Raw genomic sequence first — 19,640 nt, 5'->3', positions numbered from 1 at the left:
TTCAAACCAACGAAGACGGCAGTGGCTCATGACAGGCACTGTCTACGTGGGAGGTGCACAAGATATGTATTACACAGGCAGGGTCCCATGGAAGCAGACCACTGACCCGACTACTGGCACAAGCCCAGAGAAAGAATAAAGAGAAAAGACAATAGGGAGTGAAAAGGCAGAATCAAATGCCCAGCCAAGGCAAATGCCATGCCAGGGAAATGTCTGAATTGCTACTTCCTACGCAAGGAAATGTGCTTTCTTCCAACCCCCCCTACTAAATGCATGTTTCAGCACTTCCATCCTTTACCTTTTCCCTCACACTTAACTATTTTAGTGAGAAGCACAGCAATTCTGAAAACAAAAGTTGTTTTGTCATCCAGTCTTGAATCCCCTATGAAATATAATAATATCTCATCCCCCAACCTCCAAGATCCATTTTTCCCCCTCATATGGAGATTATCACAGTTTGTAGTGATAACAGTTGGACATTCCCCAGCTAAGCAGTGTCTTAAACAAACTATGCAGGAGACAGCCAACTCTTATTATAGGTAATTTTTGAAGCATTCTCTCAAGGGGATGTGCATTGAAGCTGCCTTTAATGATGCGCTCCGGCTCAATTCTGCAAACAAGTCCTCACACAGCCAATTTAGAAGCCACAGAACACTCAAAAGCAAAGGCAAACCCATCAGTTGTGTTCGTCTTGTGCCTAGTTCACCTGCATTAGGATACAGCAGAAATCCTGCCAAGAATAACTACAAAGACAAGTTCTTTCCAATACTCCTAATCATCCCTGTTCTGCTACTTGCTCCCTGACAGGCCTAGATCATCCAGCTTCTGGCCATCAATTAAAAATGAAGATGTGTTGGCCGGGCATGGTGGCTCACATCTGTAATCCCAGCACTTTGGGAGGCCGAGGCAGGCAGATCACGAGGTTAGGAGTTTGAGACCAGCCTGGCCGCCATGGTGAAACCCTGTCTCAACTAGAAGTCCAAAAATTAGCCAGGTGTGGTGGCGTGCACCTGTAATCCCAACTACTCGGGGGGCTGAAACAGGAGAATCACTTGAACCTGGGAGGCAGAAGTTGTGGTGAGCTGAGATCACACCACTGCACTCCAGCCTGGGTGACAGAGTGAGACTCAGTTTCAAAAAAAAAAAAAAAAAAAAAAGAAAATTAAGATGTGTTATGCTAAGGTTTCCGCATCTTGTCAACAAAACCTTCTCACCACTGACTCCCTTCCTTGGTTCCCGGCATGGCTGTTCCCTCCTGCAAGATTACTAAAACATGCTACTGCCTGCGCTCCCTGAAGGACTGCAGCCAAGGCTGCATGTTTCTCAGTAGATTCCAGGCACCACCTTTACCCCCAGAAATGCAGGAGTTTCTTTTTCTTAAAATTTCTTTTTATTTCAATAGTTGTTTGGGGAACAGGTGATGTTTGGTTACATGAATATGTTCTTTAGTGGTTTCTGAGATTTTGGTGCATTCATCACCCAAGCAGCAACACCGTACCCAATGTGTAGCCTTTTATCCCTCACCCCCCTCCCACCCTTTCCCCACAGTCCCGGAAGTCCTTGGTATCATTCTTATGCCTTTGTACAGGAGTTTCATTTTAAAAGACTCCACGTGCTGTCAGAGATCCAGCAATATTTCCTTCTGGAGCCCCTGGAACCATTAGAAATGCATTGACCCCAGTTGCTTTCTTCTCTGACTCTCCCCTGGCCCAGGATGCTCTGAAGTTCATGAACATCAGAGCAGCATTCAATCATTTTTGAGGAGGCTGATACCTAGAAGACAACTTGAGATTCCCAAATTCAGACTTTGAATCTTCTGCCAAGTACACAGCGAAGCCCTCACTTAAAGAGTCCAACCAAGTGATTTGCTCTCTGCTTCTCCTTCCTCACTAAGGGATACCCTTTCCTTTCCTAAACCTCTCCAATTAAACCCCCCAACTCCAATGTAACAGATTGCAAGGGAATGAGCTCTTGTTTGGGGAGCGAGGGGAGGATTAAGCGTAGAAGCAGTAAAAAGCACCACAGGTAATTTTTCAAAAGCCTTTTCACTTTGCCAGAAAAATCACTGTTGACAAATGTGAGTAACACATAAACCTCAACAATTCATCAAGGGGGATATTAATTCAAGTGCTGTTTTCTTCATTATTGATGTTCCAAAACCTAGAAGATTGATATGGCTGGCAAGGTTGCAGGGTTTAAGCCCATTTTTCTGTGAACATTTTGATATAATGGAATGCAAAGCACAGCAAAGTTGAGAAGGCAGAAGAAGCTCTCAGCGGGACAATGAATGTCTACATAATTTGACAGCAGCCTGTCTGTGCATATCACAGGATGTGTCTTTGTATGTCTATGCATGTGTTTGAGCAGGCACCATGAAAAAGACAGAAGAATAAAGGGGCACATCACCGTGTGTTAAACGAAATTCATATGAGGACTTGAAAAAATGTATTATAATATTCATATAAAGTTTTAAATGGCGAGGTAGGTGCACACTTGGCTGATTTAGGGTAAATAGTTCTAATTACTCAGCTGAAAAACATGAGTTAAGTCTGGAAACATTTTTAGCCCATTTTTATTTTAATATGTCTGCTTGGTCACACATCCTGTACTATGACTTTACAGACATTTCTAAGCCTAATGTAGACTTAATTTCCTGTGATAAGAATCACGAAGTTCATCTGGGGGAGTTTTCTTCTCTCAATACCAACAGTGCCTTCAAGGTGAGGGGAAGGGTTAGTACTCTTGAGCAGCTGTACTAAGCAAGCCTTTTTATATTCTGGATTCTGGTGCTTTGACATCTGGGGCCGTGCTAATCCTGGAGGAATGGCCCCTCCCACCCCTGGTGAGTCAGTTCCTACAGATGGTAAATACCCTGCCTGGGAGCATGCCTTTCAAATGCAAACCAACCAATCCAGAGACAACACCCCAACCACCTTCCAGATGTGAGGCTCACACTCTAGGCCACTATCCACCTGCCCTCCCCACCCCAGGGCCAAGTACTTGACAACTCTAGATAGCTCCTGTACCCTAGAGCCTGTTGAAGTTACTCAGACTAGCCAGTCCTAAACCTGTTTACCCTCCCTCCCCAGTTCCTTACCTGGAAACACACTAAAAGCTCCTGCCCAAGTTCTCCCTTCCCTCCTCTGCCTTTTAATGGATCCCAGCACTTCCCCACGTGGCTCTGCATGCCATGGTGTGCCCCTTTCTTTTGGGAACCACGAGTGACACACTATCTTCTCAATGGCAATCATCTCCTAAATTGTTGGTCTCACCAAACTTGAAAAATAATGAAACCTATGTTTTATAAGAGCAGCACCTCTGCTGGACTGCAGCCGGAAGAATAATTCTGAAGAGCTCTCTGCTGTGGCCTAAAACAGTAAAACCACATTTTTGCAGCTTTCCGGGAACAAGCACCCTTCTGCAGTGCAAATTGGCTTGGAAAAATATTTAAGTGGTTGCAATGACTTGCTATTTAGCAGAAGCAAGACCCTGTCTTATAGGACTGTCATGGGAGAGTTTATTACCACCTTCCCCAAAAACACACGGGATACACCTACGCACGCATACACATCAAACCCGTAAAACAGAACACCTTTAAGACTGCCCAGGCAGGATCATCCCTCTGATATCTTGGCAAAGTGACTATGATCAGCTGTGTCTGAAATTTGCCCCTAGGGAGCTGCCTAGAAGCCCTGACTACTTGAGCTTCATGTTCTAACTTTGCCAAGTCTCCACTTCCCCTTTGCTGGTTAAGAACTTTAACCTTGGAATCCATGGAGCTAGCGAGAGTCAAGGTGACTTTTCCCCCTCCAGGCCCCATCTGGCCAGGCTGCCTCAGCCGGCTGGTCATTTTTGGATCACTGGACAGACAGTGATAGAGACTGCCCAACAAGACAAGGTCTGACGTCAGGATGGAAAGTGACAGGAAACAGCTCCTTATATGGCCAGGATGAACAAGCATAGGGTGGATGGTTTGGAATTGAGCAGCCTCCTGACATTGGTACATTTCCCCTACTTTGCCATTTTACCTATGGCCAACCTTGCTACCAAAAGAATAACTAACCAACAGATGCCCAAGATGGTCGGATCTTGGAAACCCACATGAAAGATGTAAGAATGCCGTCTTTTCATGCCTTCTAAGCAATTCCTGTTCATTGTCTCTGTACCCATAGAAAATTCTGAACAAATTAGAGGTCCCAAGAGATCACACCTGATTTCAATTCTAATGAGGAGCTACATCATCTGCATTCACTTGGTAAGCTACAAACTGCTTTTCAATTGTCAGCACATAGTCTGAATGCAGGGAATAGAATGCAATCAAGCAGAAATCACAGCGTCTGGACGTTAGAATCTGTTTTGAAAGAGGAATGGTCATAAATGGAAACTGATTTACCAATTCAGAACTCTATTACATCTTGGCCAATGGAAGAAAGTTAAGACCTAAACTTGTCCAGCTTGACTATTCAGTCAGCTATTCCCTGTACATGTAGCTGAAATGTAGTTGTATTTATTTCCTTAACCTTCTTAAAAATGCATCACAAACTAGAACTGGAACGACAGTTAACACTTCCCCCACAGGATAAAAACGAGTCAAATCTAAAAATGTAAAACCATGTACTAAACTCAATTAACAACAGTAATGCCTTTTCTGGAAAAATTCTAGACCTACTTCTTCAACAAATCAAAAACCAGGAACACAGAAAATGAATCAAAGACCGTGGAATGTAAAGAGGGTCTAAGCATTTTCATCCGAATAAAAACATAGACTCATTACTTATCCAAAGAAGGAGTGAGTTAACTACTTACCAACACCTTGTCTTGATTTTACTTTCCCAAATCCAAACCATGAGAAATCTGAAAACCACAACAAAACATAAAATAAACTTCGAAAGAGAAGTAGAAACCGGAGGTGGTCAACACTGTCCTTGGTCAAATAATGCAACAAACTCCCCCCGACAAAAATAAATAAATAAATAAATAAATAAATAAATAAATAAATAAACAAACCACTTGGGATGAAAGCTTCCTATCAAACACCTGGAAACTAACCCTTGGATTTTTGTGTAGAGATTTATTTCCTATTCAGAGAACACGGAGGCTCCAATCAGATAAGAGAGAGCAGCCTGTCTATGAGAAAAATAGCCACAACCCAGGGTTAAGGGCTCTGAGCTGTTTTCTTTCTTTCTCACTTTCTTTCTTCCCCCTTAGTGGAGAGATCATTGCCTTGTATTGAATCATCTGACAGGGAAGCTGCAGGGGTGAAGACACACACAATGCATTTGACAAATGCACTACGGTTCTGAACCGCAGCAATGTGGGAAAATAATAAGAGAAAACAGATCCTTTTTGAAGCTGAGACAGACGGTAAAAAAAGCAACACAAAATCCCGTGGGAGAGTAGACACGGGCTAGATAGAGATTCAGGAGGGAGGGAAAAAAAGATCTTAATTCTACATGGATTCTCGCTCCTGACTTGCTGTGTGACACTGGGCTGTGTACAGCTGTTCTGTGCCTCTTAGAACACAAGGTCCAGTAGGCACATGTAAGAAAAGACCTGCCAAACGTCTGGAGAGCCTCCCGTGAATAAAGCCACAGTGAAATGTCTGCTTCCTTCCTGAGCCCAGCTCTTTCCTCCTAGGTAATTTCCGCTGGATTCAAAGTGAATTCTGCACAGTGGGGAAATACCTGAATATGAGAAGGGTAAAGGGAATGGACCCCAAATCAGTAACTGTGTTTCCCTCCTCTGTCATAATTTTTACAGACATTTTGGATAATTAGCTAGCTAAACTGAAGAGGAATCAATTTAAATGAACAATGTACAGAAAAGCACTTTGCACACTCAAGATGACTTAGGAGGTTGTTGTCATGATGATTGTTCAAGGGTAAAGGTAGGCTTTCCCTCCCTCGTATCCTACAACTTCAGCCCCCCAACTTCTAATCCGAATTTTACTTCTGATCTATATTTTCCTCTGAAAGCTTCCTTCTAGGTTTTAGAAGATGAGATGAAGGCCTAGCCTTGAGCCAAAGCCAAATAAAGATTCCTTTGCACAGAAGACAGTGAACTTCAGTCATTGGAGCTGTTAGTCTAGGGAGGCAGAGTCCTGCCTATGGATTTCTTAGTTACAACTAACCCCATTTAAAACAAAGTGTATTTTCCCACTGGTCATCTTTTGTTTTCTTAAATTTGTTTGATTTAAACACTTTTAATTAAACCATAGATTGAATTTTTTAAGCCTGTTTTTTTCACTTAAGATGTTTTTCAATGTTACATTCCCATTTTAGAGAACTCACTGAAGGGCAATGTGATCATGGTCCCTCACTGATTGCACATTTCAGATTATTTTTGATCATTAACTATAATAAACAACTGCAATGAACATCTTTACACACCTTAAGTGCTCCCCTTCTCTTGTTAAAAATAATTCCCTTAGATAAATTCTAGAAATTGAATTACTCATTCAAAAGGAATGAATATTGTGAAGGTTCTCAATACAGGTTATCAAATTGCTACAACACTATGCCAGGTCTCACTTTCACCAACAGTATTTGAGAGGGTAGAAGTGTGTTTTTGAGCTCTACCCAACGGGAAAACTAAAGACGCACAATTTCCAATTTCCCCTTACAGGAATTGCTGAATTCCCCACCATTGGTGTGGCTCCACCTAACTGGGAAGAGACCTCACAAATATTCCCCTCCCATCGTGTGCCCCATGAAACCATTCACACCCCGCTTCTCCCAAGCTGGAGTTTTGCACAGGTACAATGAGAATTGCAGATACAAAGCAAATAAGAATTCCTCTCACTTGTGAAGTCATTATAGTTCACTGAGTGCCTCCACCTACCCACCGGGCACTTCTTCCTTGGTCCTCAGCCAACCTTTGTTTACATGAGAAATTATCCTATGCTTATTGACGAGGAACTGAGATTCAGGGAGGCTGATACACTTAGCAAATCTTTCAGCTCGTGGTCACTGAGCCAGGATTCATATCTTCTGATGTCAAATCATAGTGGGTTTTTTTTTCATTCTTTTTTAGTTGCATTTCCCATGCTCCAAAATCACCAAAATTAACTGAATTTTAAAACAGTATAATTAGGATTCAATTTTAAATATAGAAAAACACTAAGTAGTTATTCATTCTCATTTATTTATTTATCAGGCAGAACAGTCTTCAAAGAGAAATGAGCTGCAAAGCGGCACTTGAGAAGCTCTCGGTGGAGGATGAGCCATCCAAGAAGTCAGTCCAGGGTGTGTGAGCACAGAAAAGAAGCCTCTATTCCAACGGAGGGTTGGGAGGCGGCTCGAGAAAGAGGGCTCAGAGGATTTCTAGAAAATAGATTAGAATTAGCCAAGAATGGGAAAGAGCAGAGGAAGGAACACTGACTGCACTCAGAATACAGCTCTGGCTAAGGTGAGAAGTGCTGAATGTGTCCAGAGGCTGATGCAGCTGGAAGGGGGGTTGGGGGAGGGAAATGGGAAGTACAAGTAAGGGCCAAGTCAAGAGTTTGGATATTATAGTGAAAATCGCACAGTTAGGCAAAAAAACAACAAACAAACAAACAAAAAAAACACTCAGGCCAGGAAGTAACATTGTAAAGATTAATTTTAGAGAAATCATTTTGGCTGCAGGGTGAAATCAGGATTATGGGAGGAAAAAAATTAAGGCAAGAGATTGGTTAAGGAGGTTTTTAGAGAAATCAAGGCATGAGAGAATTGTGGCCTGAACTGGGTATTGGGGAAGGGGAAGGTGAAAGAAAGGAGATGACTGCAGGCATATTTAGGGACAGTAGCAGAACTTGGTGACTGATTGCAAATTGAGGGGAGTGTGGAGAGAAAACAATGAAGGTTTCAGATTTGGACAACTAAGTATGTGGTTATGCTGCCCACAGAGTCCCTAAGGAACTTAGAAGGAAAACAGATTTAGGAGTCAAACCAAGAACATGGGTTTTAGCCACAAATTTCAAACAAGGTGCCTATGTGAAGAAAATGGAAGGCAACACCCTCAGTTGGCAGGATGGTCTGAAGCTCAAGACACAGGCTTCGTATCAAAATTCTAGAGCCCATAGATCAATCTGAGAATGGAAACTGGACTCTCTACCTAGGATTCGTTTCTCATTTGGGCCTGTACAATGCCCTGTCTTATAGGCACAAATGAAGGAGCACCCAGCTGAGGCCAACTTTTGACAAAATTATTCTTAAATTGATGAACTATGTCTAAGTTCTGTTTAAAATTAACTCAGTCATTATGTAGGAGAGAATACAATCTTCTTGATCATACCGCACACTTCCTCAAACACTTAAAAGACCAGATATAGAAAGGTCAGGTTGGCACCTCTTCCCTAGAAGCTGTTATTCATTCAACAGCTCTTTCTTGATGGATTTAAGCAGTCGTCTTAAAACTTTAACACTAAATTTCACAAGCAAAATTTTCCCACAAGGCCAAAAAGAAACAATTTCTCAATTTCCTGTGATGTTTCATCCATGGGGAGTAGAGTCCTGCCAAACCTTCTTTTATTTTCTGTTTAATAAGAGACACTTTATTCACTGCAAAATAAAGGGCTCCTTCAAAAGTAAATGTAGCTGTACTGAGCTTAAAGAATCCCCTCCTTTTGGAATGTAGACCAAGAAAGACTCTAAATTATGAAATTAACCAATTAAATCCATCTCATGTTGAAGAAAGCTCAACATTTTCCCTGACCGGAGAGAAGGAATGTAGGAAAAAATAGCATGTAAACACATTAACAACTCTAAGATGGAATTCAAATTAAATAAAATAAATGGCAAAAAAAAAACACTTTTTCAAATTTCTCTTAAAGGAAAGAGCTAAAACATAGGGGGTTGAAAAGGAAGATTTATGATGTAAATGAGAGAATCAGAGGAAGGAGCTGGGAACAGGCAACGTGGAAGAAACCTGACCTTCCCTGTAGGTACTGAATTGAGCAAACATTAAATATGAGGCTTAGAAAGGTTCTGATCTCAAGAGAGAACAGCTTCTGGATATTTTTAAGTTTCAGAAAAATCATTTTACTATGTTAAGAGAAAATCAGCTTTCCTCTCTTTTAACGCTGAAGAAATTAAAATTTGCCATGTTCTCAAATGTAATTTCTTTATGTTTTAAGGTAAGACTCACCACCCTCCATCCCCAAGAAAAATGACTTTACCATTGTCATGGAATATGGAATCAAACGGTAAAATATGATTTACTAATAAAAATGGACTTCACCTCCAACTTCTTAGGCCCACACCCACTCCCTAAAGGACATTTGAAAGAGGAGTCCCCGGGCTGCTTTGCTTCAGGGAGAGAATGGACCAGAGTTGAGTCCAGAGTAGACAGGCCAAGTGCTTGCCTGAGTAGCCAATGAACTGTCACATCTGAGATCTAGAATGACTGCTCATTGGAGTGAGAAAAAATGAATGCAAAAGTTCGCCTTGTTGACAGTATCATCATCTCCCTTTCCTACTGGCACATAATCGGGGTGAGTAATAGTTTGCTTCAAATTAATTCCAGTCCCTCCGGGCACAGAACAGTGTAGTTTGGGGCCAAGTTTCCACTTCAATTTGATCTTAATCTTTTACTTAAGGACATATCCTTAATAAAAGAAAGCCCCATCTCCACAGTGTAGGAAGAGAGCTTGCTTTGAGTTAAACTGGTTCTGGAAATCATGACACAAAGGGTATTGTATCCTCCTGACCAACTTTCACTTGGCTCCATCCCTTGTCCTTCATCAAACTTACAATGTGAGGTATTTCCACTGGTCTCTAAAAATGTAACACTGAGCAACTCCTATGTGACAAATATAAAGAAAAATGTGTGTATTTGGCTGAACCTCCTAACTGTTCTCTGAAATTCGTATTTCCCTTTTTCCCCACCCTGCTGGGCTAATAGCTACACGATATTTCCCAGCTTCCCTTGTGGTTAGTTGTGGCCAGATGGCTAAATTCTAGTCAATGAAGGGGAGCAGAGCAATGGGTCCCACTTCCAGGCCTTGCCTATTAAGACTTCCTCTGTGTACTCCCTTCTACCTGGCCAGAATTAAGATAACACCTAGGGCAAGCTTGGAAGTTATGGCTTGAAGATAGCACAGGGCAATTTCAAGGAACAACGAATTCTCTTGGTATTGTTATGTGGGCGTAGACAGAGTAGAATGCATCTCAGAGTCTTTCTACCAGAGGGCCAATGATGCTGAGCTATCTTTCCTTCAATTCTTATCCATAAACAAAAATATGTGTTTGAACTGTGATCCACTTTGGCACTTACTTACCATTATAGAGAGCCTATCCCTACTAACAGATGTAGACAAAAAAAAAAAAAAAAATATGCTTGAGGTTTTATTAACTGACTCCATGACTTCCCAACCTGTCAGCACAAATTTAAAATTGTGTGTCGGTGCACATTTGCATTTTCCTGGAGAGGAGATCCACAGATTTCATCAGATTTTCAAAGAGTTCTCACCCCCAAATGCTAAGAACCACTTCAATACATATAAATACCCACAGAGACGAAGACATAAACATGTATGTCCTCTGTGTTTGTATTCTATTTACTTCTGTTCTCTATCAACAGTTGAGTCTGGAAACTGAAAAGCATCCATCATCTCTCACCTAGATTTCTTCAGTAGCCTTCTAACTTAGCTCACTGCTTCATTCTTTCCTCCCCCAATCTGTTTCCCATGAGCTGCCAGAGTAACCATTTTCAAGTATAAATCAGATTATTGCATTCACCTGCTTAACATCCTCCAACGGTTTCTCCTTGCATTTAGTATAAACTTCTGATCCTTACTACAGAGTCTCTCATGACAAGGCCAACCTACTCGGTCTTCCCCCTCCCTGCCTCATTCCCCATGAAACAGCCCAGTGTTCTCTTTCCTATTCCTGCTCACTTTGCATTTTTTCATGCCTCTTCCCAGAATCTTCTTCTCAAGCTTTTTTTTTTTTTTTTTTTTTTTTTTTTGAGACGGAGTCTCGCTCTGTTGGCCAGGCTGGAGTGCAGTGGTGCAATCTCAGCCCACTGTAATTTCTGCCTCCTGGGTTTAAGCAATTCTCCTGCCTCAGCCTCTAGAGTAGCTGGGATTACAGGCACATGCCATCATGCCCGGCTAATTTTTGTATTTTTAGTAGAGATGGGGTTTCACCATGTTGGCCAGGCTGGTCTTGAACTCCTGACCTCAAGTGATCCGCCAGCCTCGGCCTCTTAAAGTGCTGGGATTACAGTCGTGAGCCACCGCGCCCGGCCCTCAGGCTCTTTTTTTATAACTACTTCTTGTTTTTCAGGTTTCAGGTCAAATATCACACTATCAGAGGGACCCCAACTTCACACTTCAATCAGAATTTCTCTGAACCCCTTTCCACTCTCTATCATCTCATTCTTTTCAATAGGTACCCATATGTGACCTTTTTTATTGATTTGTTGTTTATTATCTGCATCCTTTTCTAGAATTTGAGCCTCAAGAAGCCAGCGACTTAGACCAGCTCCCCTAGAAACAGACCCTGACTAAGGATTCAAGCAAAAGTAGTTTACTAAGAAGAGATCCCAGGAAGCACAAAAGGAGTAGTCAAGAAGTGAAACAAAAAGAGGTAGGAAGTCTGTAATGGATACATTATCCAGTGGGTTACACTGTGGACAACTGGAGTTCAAATGCCTGGGGAACTTGGAGTGATGGAGTAGAATGAACCTTAGAGTTATCCCATCCCAAAGCTGAGGAAGCTGGGTCATTTACCCTCCAACTCCCACCTGTCATTGACTGAAGGCTTCCAGCTAAGAGAAGCTCCTTTTTTTGTTTGTTTCTTTTTTTTTTCTTTTTTCTTTTCTTTTCTTTTTTTTTTTTTGAGACAGAGTCTCACTCTGTTGCCCAGGCTGGAGTGCAGTGGTGCGATCTCAGCTCACTGCAACCTCTGCCTCCAGCAATTCTCCTGCCTCAGCCTCCCCAGTAGCTAGGACTACAGGCATGTGCCACCACACCTGGCTAATTTTTGTATTTTTAGTAGAGACGAGGTTTTACCGTGTTAGCCAGGATGGTCTTGATCTCCTGACCTCATGATCCACCCACCTTGGCCTCCCAAAGTGCTGGAATTATAGGCATGAGCCACCACCCCCAGACCAGAGAAGGTCCTTATGCAGAGTCATGAGTGGTTGCAGCAAGACTCTGCAGTCAAGTGCTGGGGTGGTGAGAGCTGAGAGGACACGGGCAGGGGGTGACGCCAACAGCATTTGCTACAGGGATCTTGTCTGTGTAATTTACCACTATCTCCAATGCTTTGCATAAACACTCAATAAACACTTGTGGAATGGATGAGAACAACAATTTTGAAAAAGCGTAACAATATTAAATATAGCAAATGTAATGAAAATGCCAATATGCAAATTATACATACAACATAAAAACCATTATGTATTTTGCAAATATATTTGCTACTCTCCTGATTTGTGGCTCTCCAATGGAACATGACTGAAGACAGTATTTAAAGCTGAGCAATTCTTAGAATCCAGCACTCCAGGCAGTAGTGTGGAATAAAGAGCTGGACTAGAATGTCAGAAGATGTGGGCCCTCTCTAGACACTGCCAGAAGTGAACGGCATGACCTTGAGTGAGCCACTTCCCCCTTCATGGACTCTGTTTCCTACTCCATAAAAGAAAATTTGAGAAATGGCATCTGAGGCCTATTCAAGTTCTCAAAGTCTATAGGACTAAACATTAGGCATATATGACTGAGAAGATTGACACATGGCCTTATATAGCTTTCCTGAGCCTGGGTATTTTGGGAATGTGAGATCATGTGCAATATAAGGAAAAGCACTCAGTCAACCGGCCTAGATTTTCTCCTGCTAAATAATACTCAGAGGCTTTGGGGCCACTATATCCTCATCTTAAGAGAAAAGGCCAGTGCTCTGCAAAAGCAATTAAAAAAAAAAAACAGTATTTATTGAATGCTTGCTATATGCCAGGAAACTTACTAGAGGTCAGATATTGCTTTAATTTGAAAATTAATCAGCTTCTGTTGCAGCATTTTAAAAATAAAAGCCTTACATCCCATAAAGTTCAGAAGCCTCAAGTGGGAATAGATGAAATTAGACTTGCCTGGAACATAGCAAGCTGTCTTGATCACATATTTCAAACATTTAGTTTTGAGAAGAAACTTGCCAACTATTTCTCTCTTTTGTTTTGTACATGTGGACTATTTCAAAAGCAGTTTAGTGAGTCTACATTTTATTCATTCCCAATTAAACTACATACAACACTGAGTTTTTTACATCTCTTGTAGATTCCAGAAAGATTTTTTCTTTAACAGAGGTGGTCACAATCTTCACTGGGTAGGTGAAAAATGGAACCTGCAACTCCTAATAATTAGTTTCCATGATTGGAACTTTGAGAAAGGCAGGGGCAACCTCTGCTTAATAATAAGAGTTGACAGACGTGAGAAAGTCATATCAAAGATTTGCCTTTCTACAGTACCACCCCAGTGAGAGCTCAAAATGCTTTATAAACATTTTCTCAGCTGTCGAAGCTCCCTGCAGGGAAGGCAGGTGATGTCTGGTTGCACACACACACAATTTCCCTGTTAACACTGTCTTAATGTTGGATGAATGACTCCCTGAGACATGTCCCAAATTCCCTTCTCTCTGCAAAGCCATGCTGGTTAGCACTCAGGGCAAGTCTTTGCGGAGGAAGCTGGCTGATTCTCAGGGAATCATCTTAGAAGCGATGTTAGTGGCCCTGCAGGAGACTAACAAGTCCGCAGAGTCTGGCAAACACTTGATGTCAAATTCCCAGGAGCTTTTGTTTCCAAGGAAAACCTAAACAATGACTCACGTCTTGGCTGACTTGCCCAGACCTGTCCATTATGCCCAGTCACCAAGTGAGCCCAGCGTGAAGGAAGGCCGTGCTCTCCATTCTTTCTTGCATAAGCTTTGTTACCACATTAAATGTGTTTAGAAACGCCTTTGCAATTTCTGCTACGTATTTATAGTTATATTCATATTTATACTTACATTATTTATATTCACATATATAAAACATGCAAATTCTTTTTTTAGTCCTTCTAGACCAACATTTGTTGTAGCTCATGCAAAGCACCGCACAGGAAACTTTTTGCCATTGTATTATGGAATTTTGAAGGGAGGAAGAAAATGGTAAGGTTTTTAGCTCCATTCTCATTACAGGATATTTTCCATTTTAAGTGGTACCTGAATTCTTCCCACCAATCTGGGAACCATGGTGACCTGTTTCATGTCACCTTTCAGCACCTTTGTCTTTCTTTTTAGTGACCCATTGTCTCCCTTCCCATCCCATAACCACATTCGAATCCAGCCAAAGTCAGGAAATGTGTGAGGCCAACACAATAGCCAAAATGTTTATTTAATTGTATTACTGTGTACTCTTCTGTTAGGAAGTTCCCATAATGGAATAGAACATAACAGGATTATACACACTTATAAAGCTGGGTGCTGAATAAAAATAATTGGATAAAATGACCATAAATAGGACAAAATGAAAACCCATTATTTAAAATGCAATGCTGGTCAAACGAATTAACTATGGGCCATCATGCACACTGTCAGTGGAAGGAAACTAAACCCATCAGATGAGACTGCATTTCTTTCCTTGATGTTTTCCCACTAAATGCCCAATGTGCTCTTTAGGGTCCACTGATTTTCTGGAAACTAATCAAAATTGATTGCCTAGGTCAGTGGTTCTCAAACGGGGGCGATTTTTGCCTCCCAGGGGAAATTTGGCCAGGGGGATATTTTGGGGCTGTCACAATGGTGGGGTGGGTGGAGAGTGTGTGCTAGGAGCATCTAACAGGCAGAGGTCAGGGACAATGCATAGGACAGTCTCCACAACAATGAATTCAAGGCCCCAAATGTCAACAGTACTGAGATTGCGAAACCCTGACCTAGGTATTGACCAACAAGGGTAGAATTTATGCTAAAACCTTTTATCCCTGCTAAAAAGAAATCCTAGCCTGCCTATGCTCATGGTCACTACAGCAGTTTGGTCTTCTCCCACATTATTTTAATGTTCTCCTCCCTAGTGACCTGGCTGCCAGCCCCTTTCTCTCCCAGTTTATCTTAGAAACAGCTCTGACAGCGTCATTTCTTTCTACTGCTCCCAACACCAAAAGGGCGTTTCTGCCTCAGAACAGAGGGGTAATGCAGTACAAAGGAACAGAAACAGAGTTTGCACTACCTTGGGTGTTGAGTCTTAGATTCGTTATTTCCTGACATAACCTCCATAATTACTTAGTCTGTCTCTGAGTTCCTCTCTATTGGGTGGGGCAATAATTACTGTCCTGACCACCTGATTGGACCGTCTTGAGGTCATGTGAGCTTTGGTGAACATAATGGTTTATGTAAATATAGGGGTAAGGGAATAATAAGGTCCAAACTCTTCAATAACATTCAAAATCTTTACCTGGCCCCATGACCTGGCTCCAGCTTTATCACCTTAATTTCACCTTAAGATTCCAGTTAAACTATTAGTTTGCATACCTTTAATAAAGATGCCTCAAATTTTCCTATTAATTCATTCGAAAACTATTCATTGATCACCTGATGGATGCAAGACAGTGTGATAAATGCTGGGGATGTAATGAGAGTAGAATAAAATAATCACATTCTCTGCCTATAGGCAGCTTTCAGATTTGGTGTCTTTGCGTTTGATGTTTTGTTTTTGTTTTTTTGTTTTTTTTTTCCCCACCAGACATGTAACCCCCATGCTTTGTCTTTGACCATTAAACTCATTTATTCAACAAAATTCACATTAAAAGTTACTCTTATCATGAAGCATTTATTTATTCCCCAAATCAGAAATACCTCCATTGACATTTGGGCTTTTTGTCTCTTATGATAAACACCACATTCTGCACTGCATTCATTATTTATGTAATCTTATTTCTCCTATTAGATTTTAAGCACTCTGTGTGGGAAAAAGAAAAGTGTCTTATTCAACTCCGTACTCTCTTCCGCAAGCTTCATAAGATACAACAGCATCAAGCAGGGCACTTCCCACATGGTAGGTACTCAATAGATGTCTCAATTTCTAATTGAAAGGTTTTATAAATAGGACATAAAATGCCCACAAAATAGTAGAGACTGAATTGTAAAGCTCAGAGATAGACAACCGTAGGAACATTCATTAGTCGTGTCTCCCATTCTCTGTATTTCCAAGGCACCCTGTTCTTTCTCTGTCATAGTTCCATCCCACTCTGAATTTTTAGCTATCTACTTACTTGTAACCTCCTCCTAAACTGTAAGTTCTTTAAAAGCAATACATATTTCTGTCTTGTCTCCCCACTGTATTTCTAGCATTGAGTACAGTGCCTGGTTCATTGTAGATACTAAAGAGCTGAATGAATAAATGAATAAATCTTGGATGGATTGCAACTTTTCACCATTGCATTCTTCAATTGAGAACCAAATTTGGTATAGCACGGATCCATGATTACGTTAGATGTTGCTCTTCTTGCCTCTCCTTCCTTGCCCAGAAGATAATTGGACTCCCCCACCCACCGATCCATGGTGCTTGCTTTTGCCAATGAAAAAGTAAGCAGAAATGACCCAGCACTTCTAGGCAGAAAATTGAATAGTCAGTCCTGGGTTTTTCGCTTCCTCTTCATCCTGCCACAGTGAACTATGAAGCCTGGTGTTTAGAAGGCAGCATCATGAGGTTCTGGGTTCCTGAGAGACTGAAATGAATAGAGTCCCCCCTGCCAAACTGTGTTGTATGTGCAGCAGGAGGAGAAATCATCTTTTCTGTTTTAAGGGTTATCTTTTTCTGTAATAGTGAAGTTCCAAGTGAATCTTATTGCAAAGCAGCCTCATCTATAAAAATATAGGCCTTTTATCTTATAAAAAGACTCCAATATGTATGCCTAAGAAAGTACATATGTAGTCTCTAAAGCATATGTAGGTGTGTATGTCAATATGTAATATATAAATGTTTACAACAAAGGGAAGCAAGAAGTTTATAAAAAGTCACTCTAACTCATATTGACAAGCCATCTCCTTAGAAGGCCACACCTTTATTCCAAAGATGATGTCTCATATTTTTGCCATATTTTCAAAGCTCCCCTTGGGGAATTATCTTTGAATTAATGTACTAGAGTTTACCAATTATGCAAATCTTTATTATTGGAGAGAAAATTTGATTTTTTTCGTGCTCAAAGATCATTTGGCGCCGGGTATGTTGGAATACATGAGTGATTAAGCTGGGCCACATCACCATAATTCAAAACGTCAGAGGGTCTGATTCTATAGTCTCAGACTTCCGGCTTTCTTGTGGATCTCATAAGTTTTCATTAAAGGCACTACTGAAAGATGAGTTCCATAAAGGTCTCTTGCCTGATGATTGTCAAATTTTTTCATAGTTCTAGAATCGTAACTAAATGTCAGTCTCCAGGAATCTTCTTGGTCCCTAAATTCATAGTTGGTAAATAGAAACAACATGATTGGGTACATAACTAGGTGATCTTCACAGTGTACATTTGAAGCTACCTGGGTACATTTATTCTCAGACTCCATAGAAACAACTACAACTGGACTCCTAGTGGATAAAATCACACCTAAACCAGGATTAATCAGAGATGCACAGCTGCGGATTATCATTTTTGTTTGTATTGGGGACTAAATTGTGTGCACATAGAATTCATATGTTGAAATCTTCAGTGTGACTATATTTGGAGATAGGGCCTTTAAGGAAGTAATTAAGGTAAATGAGTTCACAAGGGTAGGTCCCTAATCCAGTAGGGCTGGGGTCCTTATAAGAATGGACACCAGAGCATATGCTTGAGCTCTCTCTCTCTCTCTCTCTCTCTCTCTCTCTGCCCCTCTCTACTGGAGCCACAGAGAAAAGGCCATGTGAGGACACAGCAAGAAGGTGGCCATTGGCAAACCAAGAAGAGAGCCCTCACCAGGAACCCAACTAACCAGCATCTTGATCATGGACTTGTAGCCTCCAGAACTATGAGAAAATAAATGTCTGTTGTTTAAGCCACCCAGTCTGTTTTTGTCATGGCAGCCTGAGCAGACTAATATAGTTTATTTGTCTATTGTTTTCACTGCCAACCAGTATCCACCTCCTCCTCCTCCTCCTCAACTGGTAATGATTTTCCTTTGGTTATTCACCCAACTCCCAGGCAACCTATGTGATTCAAGGTGGAACCAATGGCTCAGACATAAATAAATCAACATAATTCCAATCCCTGCCCACACTGATTTGTTCAAGGATGAGCATGTGACCATAAAGCTGGCCTGATCAAAACGAAGTCTATGATGTGTGTTCGAAGGTTGACATAAGCCGTAATTTTCTTTTCTGCTGGATGGGCATCTGGAGGATATAGCATCAAGAGTGGATGAAAGTCATCTGTCCTGCAACCATAAGACAAATGTTTGTCTTCAAGTTGAGCCACCCAAATGGAAAAGAGCCAAAAGATGGATCCTGGCCACAGTGTTTGGGCCTTGCATCAAGCCACATACAAGCTTGTATTTACTCCTGGATGGTATATTTATGTGAAACAATAAATCTCCACTATTGTTCAAACCATTTGCAACTATAAAATGCCAAACTAACACAGGGATTGGGCAATAGTAGTCTTATTTTCAAAAAGTTACTTCTGCATCCCCAGAGGCCAGAGTGAATGGGTACCACATTCTGGAGTCCTTTCATGCACCCAAGTTTTATTACCACTAATGTTGAATTGGCCTGTTATGGAGATGTAAATGTCCTGCTCTTCAAAGGCATGTTTGACAGGATAAAAGGCTTTGGGATTTCAATGACTTTGACTCCTCTGGAGATGGGAGGACAGCCTATTTTAGCAATTTCCATGGGAATGAATAGACATATACTTTAGCTATTCAAATATTTAACTAGCTCTTTTGTTGTTGTTTTGAATCCCAAGGAGCTGCAGCTGCCTGTTTGTGTCTGTTGTGCCTTTAAGGGGCTTGCTGATTCAGTAGGATCTCTTGAATGCATTAATTAGCCTTCTCTCATTTTCCCAGCCCATGCCTATGAAGAAATGAGCATTTGCAGCTCCAGTTGCTGGGAACGATGCGAGTCTTGAGGGTACTAGATAAATGGAGATTCAGAGTTGCAGGCTTTTGATGGGCAGTTTTACGCTGGCAGCAGCCTGCATGGCAAGGCTTGTGTGGTTGCATGATTAATTTATTGGCTATCACTATTGGCAGGCAAATGAAACACAGGCCCTGGATTACAGTGTAACTGGAGAGACGGGCATTCATCAGCCCAGGTACATGAGTCAGAGGAGGTAAGGATCCAGAGAAAACAAAATGTAATGAAAGGCTGGAAAATGATTTATCACTTTTAATATACATCATCTAAGCCCAATCTTTATAACTGCTTGTAGGCCTTCATGTTGTGAAGACTTTGGCAATAAAACACTCCTTCCTTAAAACACTAACGTGAAAGATGCTGGTGGGAAAAATAAAGAATCATGAAAAATGAGCTGACTGTAAAAGGAAAAAATAGTGTCCAGCTTAAAATTAAATTTCCACTTGTTTCTTCTTAAATGATTTAGAAATATAGCTTTTGCTTGGAAAACTGCATTCTATTGATCACATGGAGGGGACGATGAGAGGTCTGTCCAGGAAGGACAATTTCTCAGATCCCTTTGGAAACTATAATACGAAAAT

At 41.2% G+C, this 19,640-nt stretch overlaps 1 protein-coding gene across 21 annotated transcripts in view, besides 4 other annotated features; it reads right to left on the bottom strand.

Moving 5' to 3' along the window:
- NTRK2 (neurotrophic receptor tyrosine kinase 2) overlaps nucleotides 1-19,640 on the bottom strand; it is a 358,533-nt gene that overhangs the window by 161,161 nt on the left and 177,732 nt on the right. For 11 of the 21 annotated variants that reach the window (XM_017014751.3, XM_047423432.1, XM_005252001.4 and 8 more), the window contains one exon: nucleotides 4,807-4,854. The exons of the other annotated variants lie outside the window; for them this stretch is intronic. In XM_017014751.3, coding sequence (XP_016870240.1) covers nucleotides 4,807-4,854 — 48 coding nt within the window. The remainder of the gene's footprint in view (nucleotides 1-4,806; nucleotides 4,855-19,640) is intronic. 21 annotated transcript variants of the gene reach the window in all.
- Nucleotides 3,137-3,637: an enhancer, noted in NCBI's record as "OCT4-NANOG-H3K27ac hESC enhancer chr9:87477172-87477672 (GRCh37/hg19 assembly coordinates)". NCBI's record gives its function as "activates a minimal SCP1, AML or CMV promoter by ChIP-STARR-seq in primed H9 embryonic stem cells {active_cell/tissue: H9 hESC(primed)}" and the evidence as "EXISTENCE:reporter gene assay evidence [ECO:0000049][PMID:30033119]".
- Nucleotides 12,889-14,088: an enhancer, noted in NCBI's record as "MED14-independent group 3 enhancer chr9:87466721-87467920 (GRCh37/hg19 assembly coordinates)". NCBI's record gives its function as "activates an origin of replication core promoter dependent on BRD2, BRD4, P300/CBP and CDK7 cofactors, and independent of MED14, by STARR-seq in HCT116 cells {active_cell/tissue: HCT116}" and the evidence as "EXISTENCE:reporter gene assay evidence [ECO:0000049][PMID:35650434]".
- Nucleotides 12,889-14,111: a biological region, named in NCBI's record as "MED14-independent group 3 enhancer GRCh37_chr9:87466721-87467920".
- Nucleotides 13,565-14,111: an enhancer, noted in NCBI's record as "OCT4-NANOG-H3K27ac hESC enhancer chr9:87466698-87467244 (GRCh37/hg19 assembly coordinates)". NCBI's record gives its function as "activates a minimal SCP1, AML or CMV promoter by ChIP-STARR-seq in naive and primed H9 embryonic stem cells {active_cell/tissue: H9 hESC(naive and primed)}" and the evidence as "EXISTENCE:reporter gene assay evidence [ECO:0000049][PMID:30033119]".

The sequence above is a fragment of the Homo sapiens genome, chromosome 9, assembly GCF_000001405.40.
Source record: "Homo sapiens chromosome 9, GRCh38.p14 Primary Assembly".
NCBI classification, from domain to species: domain Eukaryota; kingdom Metazoa; phylum Chordata; class Mammalia; order Primates; family Hominidae; genus Homo; species Homo sapiens.
The sequence above is the reverse complement of the archived record's forward strand: the minus strand, read 5'-3'. Positions and strand labels throughout refer to the sequence as shown.